The 11,967-nt window shown below is 40.4% G+C and overlaps 1 protein-coding gene across 4 annotated transcripts in view; it reads right to left on the reverse strand.

Annotated features, from left to right (window-relative positions):
• Positions 1-4,649, reverse strand: part of VGLL3 (vestigial like family member 3) — a 53,177-nt gene extending 48,528 nt beyond the window's left edge. For all 4 annotated transcript variants that reach the window (NM_001320494.2, XM_006713138.5, NM_016206.4 and 1 more), the window contains exon 1: positions 4,118-4,649. In NM_001320494.2, the coding sequence (NP_001307423.1) occupies positions 4,118-4,243 (126 nt within the window). In that variant the 5' untranslated portion in view covers positions 4,244-4,649. The remainder of the gene's footprint in view (positions 1-4,117) is intronic.
• Positions 4,650-11,967: the final 7,318 nt, after the last annotated feature.

Raw genomic sequence — 11,967 nt, forward strand, 5'->3', positions numbered from 1 at the left:
AAGTCTCTACAGTGAAGTTAATTTGTGTAGTGTGAAGTTATAGGGGCTGTTCTTTCTCAAAGAAGTCCTGTATAAATTTTTATAAATCTACTTAAGTCCTTACTTACAGTTGCAAGAAAAATAGATCCTCTGCCTCAAATAAGTTGTCTGTGAATTGAAACTACTTTGGTTATAACTGTATTCTTTTCTCTTAATGAATCTAAACTTATGTTGGAATAGCAATAATAGATGAGACACTTAACTGCTAATACCACTTCCTGTATTTTATTTTAGATAAATAAATATTCATTTGCTAACTGGATATACTGTTTCATCAACAAGGGTGCAACATGGATAGCATAAGTCATTAGCATAATCCAAATGCTTGCTAACGGCCTTTGGAATGCCTAAACTTAAAAAAGTACACTACCAAGGACTTGGAAAGAATCTCGCACTCCAACGCCAAAGAATCTATTGCATATTAATCTTCATTAGAAAAAAAATTGATTGGGGACCTAAAGACAAAAATAAGCCTATTGTGCAATAGCAAAACATTAAAAAAATTTAAAAAGCTTTAGGAAATTTCATGTCATTGTACAAAGATGCTACACCGGAGAAAGGGGGATCTGGTGATCCTAATTTTGTCACCAGCTTTGAAATCTTTAGCTAGGCATTTCAGCCCTATAAAAATCCATTTTCTCACTTGTAAAAAGAAGAGTTGAAGTTATGTTTTTCCAGGGCTTTTTTCTCTGACAAACCGAATTGCAGAACAATTTTATGACTCAACCAACGTAGCAGAGTCCAGAGAGAGTTTGAAAAAACACCTTACAAAACTTATAACTGAAGTTCTCCCTCCAAGGGCACTTAATTTTTTCAAGTGAAAGCATGCATGCAGATTCATCCAGCTGTTACCCTGGAAGAGGACAGAGTAAATATACTCCATTTTATATGAAGCCCAAAGTGTGATTGTTAAAAATCCCCATGCACAATTAGAAAACCAGTGACTGTTCTCTGTCTCATCTATAAACTGCATAATTCTGAAACCTTTGACAGCATGTGCTGAGAGACTGAGTCAAGGGTTCTCCTGAGGAGTTGTTAGAGACTGACATATTAAAGCCAGAAAGAGATGGTGGGCATGCGAAACAGGTCACCCAGCATCCCTCAGTAATTTTGGCTCTATAAACCCCACTGTAGGATTTATACCCAGCCATGCAATTTCTAGTAATTAATGTCAGGGACAATAAAATGTATACTTTGCACATATTTTAGCTTACTTTGACTTTTTAGCCCACTGTATACCTAAGTAACACACTGCAGTGCAAGCTAATATATATATACAGTTAACTAGGTTTTTAAAATGACATTCACTTATTACCCACCTACAACATGCAATATGTTCAACAAAAACCTAAACTTAAATTTCAGGTGCACATTTGTGCTTATCGGAAAACAGGTGAGAGTACACATGCCTGGATAATGAAGTTCTGTTATTTCCAAAATAATTCTCAATGTTATATGATCATTTGTTAAGAGGAAAAATATACCTGTGTTTAAAATCCATCATAAGGAATCATTTTGATACAGTAATTAATAAGGACTTCAGAGCCATACAGTTTGAGGGGGAAATTAGTTGACAGATACACTACTACAATTGAATACAGAAGTAATATAAAACTTTAATGCTGTCTTTTCTAGCATTTTTTAAATGGCTATTAAAATTTCTTGATTGCTGTTACTTTTCTTCGCTCCTTTTCCATTTTTTCCTTCTCCAAAAATCAATTTTTCAAATTCAGTAGGAGTTGTAGCCCTTACTTTTGTCTCCCAGGCAAGATGCTATTAGGGGTCACTTCCCATGTACGGAGAAAACAATCTTCATGGATAATAATGATAAAACCTTATGGAATGCAAAAACAACCAAAATATGTATTCTCGGATGACTGCATTAGGGCCAAGTCAATATTAGTCCCACTTCACCCACGCATTGCATAGTCTAAAAATGCTGTCAGCCTGATAAGAATTTCCTGATTTACTCTCTTTTCCAATAGAAAATGTAGGTCATCAAAATAAACTTCTGACACTAAAAGAACAGTAGTTACACTGTCAAGTCTTTTTTTTTTTATTTCGTTAGCCAGTTATGGTCAAACAGTTTCTTTACTTGACCAAAAAAAAAAAAAAAAAAAAAAAAAAAAAAAAAAAAAAAAAAAAAGAAGAAGAAGAAGGAGAAGAAAAAGAAGAAAAAGCAACATGAAAATTTCCAAGCACCTCCCTATGGCTCACTCAGCCTAACATCTAGTTAAGCAATGTCTACAAAAGCCCAAAATATAGAAGTTGATCATTATGTAACCAATCAATGTAGATAAATTGTTTTCTTTTTAAGAAGCTCAATGGTCAGAGTTTTCCTGATTTTTATTTTATTTTATTTTTTACTTTTTAAAATTGTTGTCTTCAGTATGTTGACGGTTTTAGCAAAAGAAATGAATTTGGGGACCGAGTCTCAGGGCTATTGCAAACATTATATAAAGTACTGGAGTCATTTCTTATTGAAAACTTTTATGATTGGCAATTTGCCATTTTCTCTGATACCGAATGTTATTTTCTAGCTCAAAAAAAAGTGTTACAGTATTAACTCCACACCACAGATTCATTAATTTCACAACCCTAAAAAATAAAGCCATATTTGAAACAACTTCTACTAGTTTGTTATTTTATAAAGGAGGAAAGTATCTTTCTGAACATGTAGAGAAGTTTTAGTTTGTTGCTCATCCACATTCCAAATGATAATTGAAGACCTCTGTAATATCAGAGATGCTTTGAAATGCTGGTGCTGCTGAATATTTTTTTTAAGAGGATAGCAAGAAAGTAGGGCTCCTTCCTCTTTTGCCCTAATTGGTTCTGGTTAAGCTGGTACTATTTAGCAGATGAATCTGGGGCATGTACCCTTCCAGAATTAGCTGAATTTCATAGTTCCTAAATTCTAAACGGAAAGTTAGATTTCTTTCTAAAGAGTAGCACTGTAATTCTAGCAAAGAGACAGAAGTAGAGGAAATACAGAAAGTAAAATGTCAGATTAATTAACAGCCCAAACCTAAGAAGGTTTGCAATAAAACATGTGGTACCTAAGAAAGTAAAAAGAAATAAATCAATATATTCTATGGATGGTAATTTCCTAACCAAATCTAGTTATTTTTTTTAAGTTTCTCCAAATCCGCCCACCCTAATTCCCATAGTCTGAGGTGGACTCTATTTTGGTACAGCCCTTGCCACATACATTTTTTATTTTAATGTAGCACTAACTAAGCCTTGGCACACTCTCCGTTGTATCCAGAGAGTAATGTCCAAGGGCGCCTCGTGCCAAATTCCCCAGAACTCTACTGTTCCTTCTAAAGTAACTATATCATCTCCTCAGTTCACGACCCCTTATTATGGACATCTTCAGTTACTCTTGGAAGAGTGGAGACTCAGCATCCAGAGATTCAAGGTAACCTTTTGGCCGAGGGACCCACTGTCAACAGACTGAACACGTACAAACTCTGTGCTTTGCTGGAATTAAAAAATGAATGAAGAACCTTGGAATCCATCCCTGTCCTCTAAGTCACAGTCACCGGGAGAAAGATTCTGTGGAGAAGTTCTAGTAACACCCGATAGACATTATGCTAGACCAGTGTTCCCCCATGAAAGTCCCAGATCATTTCGTGAACTCACTCTCCAGGTAGCTTCCCCTACCTCTGTCAGCGCACTTCATCTTCCTCATCAATAAAACCCTGAAACATTCCATCTTTCCAAATAAACAAAATAGTTGGTTGAAAGGAAGTTTACTCACATGGTCCTAAGATAGATGCCCTTGGTGAGCTTCAGAGAACTGAGTCCTAAGAGCTAGGGTGCCTAGGAGGAGCAGCCTCTGAGCTCCGGTGACCACAGCTCAATGAAGCCCCCAGCTAGGTCATGCCTCACCCACCCGTCCACCCTGCTGCTCTCCCTTCCCGGCTCTCTCGGGATGGCTTTCTGCTCAAGGACGCTCCCGCAGATCCCAGAGCATCCTCTGCGCCACGCGTGCCGGCGGGACGTCGCCGAGCCCCAGACCGATACTCTCGATGCCCTTCGCCCCCGCCCCCAGCAGGCTGCCCGTCCGGTGACTCACCTGCTGGCCAGGTTGGGGCGCCGGCTGATAGTAGGCTGTGGGGCAGGTTGTCGCTGCCATGGGGTTGGGCAGATACTGGGACGCTCCATAAGGCTGGGGGTGATACATCACCTCCGCACAACTCATGGCAGCCGGGGCAGTGGCGGCCCCCGAGCTGCCGCCGCCGCTCTACGCGCTGGCGCGAGGGGCGCGGGCGCCGCCGCCGCCGCAGCTGCCGCCTCTGTCGCTGCTCCAGCTGCTACTGCGGCGAAGGCGGGTCCTCGGCGGCCTCGGGCTCCGCGCGGGGCGCGGGGTCGGGAGGGACTGGCAATCAGCGGGGGCCCATGCGCGGGCACCTTCATCTTCAGCCCCTCCGGATGTTCCCTGCCGCGCTTATATAGCGGCTCAGGGACGCAGCCGCCCGCTGCGCCGCTGGGGCATTACCGCGTCCGGCTCCCGCGAGGGCTGCGGCGCCCACGGCAGCGCCAGTCACAGCCACAGCCCAGGCCCGGGTCGGGCAGCCGTGGGGAGCCCAGCTCCGGTTTGCATATACACAATGCACGCCCGGGGCTCGTCCTATCACGGGTGCTCCCGGCTGTGCGAGGACAGGGAGGCGGGGGCAGAGGGAGGGGGAACGCCGGGGAGAAGGGGGAGCACTTTGCCTCCCCAGGCTCTGACGCGGAACTTTGCAAAGTTTCTCCAACTCGCTTTGCAGCGGGCGGGTCACCCTGCAGGGGGACCCCGGGGAAGGCTGGCTGCGGATTGGAGCGAAGTTTGCAGCCCTCTCCGCCTCCCAGCATGGGATGGTGGTGGGAGGGGAATGGTATGCAGAGGCTCCGCGCCCTCAAGGCTCGGCAGGTTCCCACCCTGTCTCTGTCACCTGGCCGCCAGGGCGAGGGCTTCCCTACTCCAAGGAGATTTTACAGGGAACACCAACTCAGAGGCTGGGACCAAACAAAAGCCGAGTGTACAAAGGGGTAAAACAGAGCAGGCGCAGAATACACGGGGATTAGCTCCTACATTAAAATAATCATAAGTGAAAGTTAACATCTCTGCAAGTGCCCACATGCCAAGAATGCAACACAGTTTTCCACAAGCAATCTCTGCTTTAAGTTTACATCTTCATGGTATGACACTGCTGTGAGACGTCCACCATTTCTGGCTTTTACAGCCTGGTTTTCACAGAGCAATAAAGGGTAGTTGATTAAGCCCATTCGCTAATAAAGGTTTATCTCTTTGCAATTGGATCTGACCCTCTCCAAAATGGGGAAAAAAACGTCTGTGAGAATATACTTGTATTCTGACATAATCAGTAGAAATAATTATACTCACATTATTTTATTTATTTTGAGATAGGGTTTCCTTCTGCCGCCCAAGCTAGAGTACAGTGACATGAGCACAGCTCACTGCAGCTACCACCCCCACGCTCAAGAGATCCTCCCATCTCAGCCTCTGGAGTAGCTGGGACTACAGGCGTGCATTACCACGCCCAGGTAATTTTTTTAATTTTTTTTTTTATAGAGAAGGGGTCTTGCTATGTTACCTAGGCTGGTCTCCAACTCCTGGCCTCAAGTGATCCTTCTGCCTCGGTCTCCCAAAGTGCTGGGATAACAGGCATGAGGCACCGCACTGGGCCTCATTTTATAAATGAGCAAACTCTAGCTCTGAGATTCAGCAAACATATCTCTCCTTATACGTAGGCATCCTCTTTTATGACTCACAGCAATCTCTCATTTTTACAGTCTATCTTTTCTCAGAGAAAAAGTCAGTTTGAAAGTCAAATGCACTAATGTTTTTATAGTTTGAATTATGTCTTCCCAAAAATGTATATATTGAAGCCCTAACCCACAATATGGCTGTATTTGAAGACAGGACATATAAGGAGGTGATAAGGTTAAATGAGATTTAAAAGGTTGGGCCCTAATCTAATAGGACTAGGTTCCTTATAAGAAGAGAAAACACGCCAGAGATATCTATGTCTCCCCCAAACCCCACTCCCTGTCTCTCTGCTCTGTCAAAGAGGAAAGACCATCTGAAGTCATAGTGAGTTACCTACAAGCCAAGAAGAAAGGTCTCACCTTGAAACCAACACTGACCACACCTTATCTTGTGCTTCTATCCTCCAGAACTATGAAAAAATTAACTTTTTTTTTTTTTTTTTTTTTTTGAGACGGAGTATCGCTCTGTTGCCCAGGCTGGAGTGCAATGTCACGATCTCGGCTCACTGCAACCTCCTCCCGGTTCAAGTGATTCTTCCGCCCCAGCCTCCCGAGTAGCTGGGATTACAGGCACCCGCCATCATGCCCGGCTAATTTTTGTACTTTTGTAGAGACAGGGTTTCACCATGTTGGCCAGGATGATCTTGAACTCCTGACTTCAGGTGATCCGCCCACCTCGGCCTCCCAAAGTACTGGGATTACAGGCGTGAGCCACGGTATGCCCAGCTTAATTTGTTTTTTTAGGCCACCTAGTTTGTGGTATTTATGACAGCCCTAGCACACTAATGCAGATATACAGTTATCATATATCGTTAATGTTTACATAAGTGTCTGTGTGTATGTCTAGGTACACAGATACATACACATGTATAAACACACAGGCATACACACACACACTGACACTATAAAAATTGGATAGGAACTTTTTGCTACGCCGCAACAGCTTTTATTCAATCATTTTATCACTGAATATTAAAAACATATTTATTAAGGGTTTGCACAGTTCTTGGACTTTAAATTGTGCTCTTTGTAGTACAAGAGTATTTCCAGCAATAATATGTTTCATAATTTACTTTAAACGTTTATTATTGTCTTTTCCCAAATTGACCTCCTTTGATCAGATCCCTTCCTGTGTTCCAGATTTATCTATTCAGTTCTTTCTAGGTAGCTCCACATAGGTGTTACATAAGGACCTCAATCCTAATAGTACTGATTGTCTCATGTCCCCAGTTTGATCCTCTTTTTTAATCTTCATCTCTACTGAAACTCCCCCACTACCAGTTGTCCCAGCTAGAAATGTGGGAATCTTCTGGCACTCCTTCCTTCTCCTCACAGTCCCCACACCTGGTCTTGGAGTCAAGTTGACCCCAAATTTTCCATTTCTACTGACTCTCTCCTTATCTCTGTTGCTATAATCGTTAGTTTGCTCGGCATCTCTCACTCAGACTCCTGCAAGAGACTCTTAGTGATTTCCGGGTCCCAAGGCGAGACTTCTTCCTGTTCTTCATAGTTTATACTACTCTTTAATGACCCAGCCACTGCAAATCCAACTGTGCAATGATGATTCATTCTTCTTTTAAAAATTTCACAGTCACATCCCGCAGTCTGTAGAAACAACTCTTTAACCTTCAGATTCTGATCCCTGCCCATGTCACTACCTCCTGCAAATGTTTACCAGCTATCTGAATTGAGATCTGCATTCTGCGAAGAAGCCGTGGTACTTTCTACCAGCATGTCATTTTACATATGAGCAGAGCATTTGCACCAACACATCCCTCACCCTCTTCACTTGTTAACTCCTTCTTGCTCTTCATGTAATTGTCTTCCAAAACATCCGATGAGGATCAGCTTTAATGCTCCTATTTTCACCAGCTCTTGTTCTTTTAAGAATACGCTCCCATCATACTAATAATTAACTACTTGATTTGAAGTTGCTTATTTGCTTGTTTCCCCAATATGACCATGGCTGCTTGAGAGGAGAGACTGTGACTTTTATCTCTAAATTTCACTAAATTTCAATCATATGATATCTGGCTTAGTAAATATTCTTTGAATAAGTAAAGTATATAATAGGAGGAGAAACAAAAACTATTAGAATAACTTACAAATTCTTGGTGGGATCTGAGCACATATAAAATCAGTGAAGCTATAATGTAGAATATGATTTCAAACTCTGTCTTAGGCTTTCTGCTGTATGTTAGATTGAGAAAATCCTTATGATGTTAAAAAAAAATAGGACCTAGAATATAAAGTGACTGAATTAGGACACAGAGCAAATTTGTGAGGACAGCCACTTCTCAATGCCAAACCTCCTGTTCAAATGTTTAATGCCTCCAACTTTTTTCAAATAACTTTTATCTGTAGTTGATTTTTTTGTACAATTATGAGTTTAATATCTGTCTTTTTAGCTAGACTTTGGCAGAGGTTATTTATATCTTGTTCATCTCCATATCTAACACTTCGAAGACATTCTATATATATTTTCCAAATGATAAAATAAAGCCAGAACTTGATTCAACATGTCCATACCCCTCATTGCTGCATCTTCCGTGCTCCCTATGGCCTCTAGTGCAAATATTTATTCTATGACAAAAAAAAGTTATTTGGTACTAATACGTCATGGACACAAAAGTCTGTAGGTGTTTGGCAAAATCTTCCTACAATGCAATATCTTTTTTGATACCTTTCTTTGTTTCTATATTGTGTACTGCTGGAAGAAGATAAGAGAGTAAAGATTAATTCTACCTAGACTTAGAATCTACAGAAGTGGACAGAGAGAGAAAATAGCTTGTCAAAGCCTGCAGTCTTAGTGAGGTCATTAATAAAAATTCCGATAATTCATGTTAGGGAAATCTACATTTGAGTTCTAGTAGGAAAGCAGATGTACCTGACTTCCCCTGGGTAACTATTTAGGGTTTTAAAGTGGAAAATAATAAAAAGGATCATCAAGCTTAAAACATCCTTTTTCATAGATAAGTAAATATATGATCTGATTAATGTCTTCTAGGGAACTAGTGGCAGAACTAAAACCAAAGTCCTGTTTCTCTTGACTCTTGATTTAGTTCTCTTTCCATAATTGCATAATAAAGATATATAAACAAATACATATGCATATGTATATGCATACATACATTATACATGTGTGTACATATTCCTAGATATTACTTATGTATGTGTGTATATATATATTATATATATAATATATATTATACATATATTATATATAATATATATAATATATATTATATATAATATATATATAATATATATTATATATAATATATATATATACACACACACACACACACACACACATACATATACAAAGGAAGAAGTTTTTGATCAGATCGTCCTTGGGTCAACTTGGAGTTGAAGAAGAGGAGTGTGTGTATGGGGTGGGGATGCGGGCCAATTGCATTTAGCAAGAGTGAGTCACTCAGATCAGAGAATGTGATCTGACCGCTGGTGTACTCATTGTCGTCTCTGCTATGTAAGGGTGTCACAATTACTTGGAAAAAGCAGCAATGGTATGGAATTTAATTCTATGTAGTTCTGAGCTAAAGTTCCTCAAAGTTTACCCTTCTTTGATTTATCCTTTTACACTACTCCACCGCTTTTCTGGTTCAATTCTGATGTGGTACCTGATCTAAATAAATGGACTTAAACATTTCCAACTCTTCTGAATTGTGACTTTACAGTCACTACATTTTTGCCCCCACCACCAAATTTCTCAAAATGTTTGTTTCCAAATTCTCCAACTGGAAATTAGTGAGGTGAACCACCCCCCGCCTCTAGTTTTATTTGGAGGGATAACTTGAAGTGGGTTTTCCTAATATATTTTGGAATAAGATAGGGTAAAAAGTGGGGGCAGCTTATTTTTTGAGTGGTGACAGCCACCCCTGCCTTTAACTTGGGATCCCAATGTAAGAGAACTCCCTGGACCCTGCAGTACGTACATGTAGATATCTCAAACTAAGTATTTAAATCTCCTCTACCTGCCCCCTGCTACCAAACAGTTGAGTTTTGACCAGTCCTTTACCCTAAGCTGAGTCCACTGACAATGCAGCCTGCTCTAGGAACCATGGCTCTGCGGAAATGGGCCTGCGTCATCTGTGCAGGAAATTGTCAGGTCTTGAGTAAAGAAACATAGTTGTTCTAGGCAGAATTATGCCCCTCCCCAAAGATGTCCACATTCTAATTCCTGGAACTCTTGAATGTTCTGTTACTTAGAAAAGGGGAGTTAAGACTGCAGATGGAATTAAGGCTTGCTAATGAGAGGATTTTAAGAAGATAAGCCTGATTCTTTGGACGGGCCCAATGTAATCATTATGAGGTGGGCCTCCTCATATAAGGGAGGCAAGGGACAGAGGAGTCTCCCATACTGATGCAAAGAAAGAAAAATGACTCTGCAGGCCATTGCTAGTTTTGAAAATAGAGGGGAATTGAATCATCAGCCAAGGAATGCAGACAGCCTTTAGAAGCTGAAAAAGGCGAGAAAATGGGTTTTCCTAAAGTCTCCAGAAAGATCACAGCCCTGCTGACACATGTGAGCCCTGTTTTTGTACTTCTGATTTGCAGAACCATAAGTTACTAAATTTACCTTATTTAAAGCCACTAAGTTTGTGGTAATTGGTTACAGTAACAATAGAACCCAAATACAATGGTAGGATGGTGAAGGAGACGCTGGAAGAGGTTTTGGGTGAGCAATTCCCCTTTGCCCTACAATTTCCTATGGGGAAAGCCACCACAGGAAGAGAGCTAGTGAGGGGTACTGTAAAGCTCAGGGCCAGGGAAGGCCTCTAGTTGCCTGGATCTAAGAGTGGTATCAATGGTGCCAATGGGATAGAAGTAAAAACAGGAGGTCAAAACTTGCATGTAAGAATGAAGATCATTTTAATCAGTTGTCATTCAGGATCACCTGCCCTCCTCAATGGCACTGAAACTTTACTATGTTTCTCTAAATGTGCTTACCCACATCCTCTTGGCAACTATTGCTTCCCGTCTTGTCCACCATTCTCATATCTGTCCAATTCAAGTTTATCCACGTTCTCCATCTCTGTTCCCTATTTTGCTCCATCACCTCACCAACATATATTAAGGTCAATAATACTGAACATGTTGCCCAATTCAAAGTTAACTGTTAAAACCTCATCCTAATTGATGCTTTATAAATTTTGCCATTGTGAATTAATCCCTTCTTAAAATTCTTTCTTCTACTGACATCTTTTCATGGTATCCTCCTGTCTGCATCTGTTTCTTTATACTTTGGCTGTTCTTCCCGTTTCCTTTGCTACATCCTCCTCTACCTAAACTTTAAACGCTGAGTATCTTAGTATTTGGTCCTGTGCCCTTTTCTCATCCTTAGGTAGTACTTCTTGAAGGTATTTTATATGTACTCTAATTCGAGGTTTTTTTTTTTTTTTTTTTTTCCTGATGAGTTTACAACATCTAGTGAAGTACTCCCTTCTCTTATTAATGACTCTTATGAGGTTGTTAGAGTACACCTCATATAAAGACTCTGAGGCTGGGGTTTCAACTGTAACAATTAATGATGGGCTACTTTCAATCTTCATGGTTTGATTTATTTAATGAAAAACGAGACTTTAAATATTTCTGGTTGACTCAGCAGAGACACATAGCAAATGATAGCACCTGCTTCACACAAAATTCTCATTCGCTGGGAGCCCAGCCAGGGTTGGCCAGGACCCTCTCTTAGCACCTCTATCTACCATTAGCATACACTCCTGAAAGAGTCAGCACACTCTTTCTGTTAAATGATTTTTTTCCATAATTTCATTAAATTTTTTCATATTTTTTCATGAATTTGCCTGGAGCTACAGGATTTCACTAGAAGGCATACACACACACATATGCAAATATATGTGTATGATACTATATTACTAGTATATTTTATAGATACTTAAACATAGAGGAATCCAAGATGAGAAATAGTGAGGTGAGATGAAAAGATGTCAAGACACTACTTAGGATCTATCAGCAGAGTGAGGTGATAGATATGTTAATTAACCTGATTTAATCATTCCACAATATATACATATTCTACATTCTACAATATATCATAACATCACATTGTACACCCTTAAGTGTATACCATTATTATTTGTAATTAAAATGAAGTTTAAAAAAATACAG

This window comes from Homo sapiens, chromosome 3 (genome assembly GCF_000001405.40).
Source record: "Homo sapiens chromosome 3, GRCh38.p14 Primary Assembly".
NCBI lineage: Eukaryota > Metazoa > Chordata > Mammalia > Primates > Hominidae > Homo > Homo sapiens.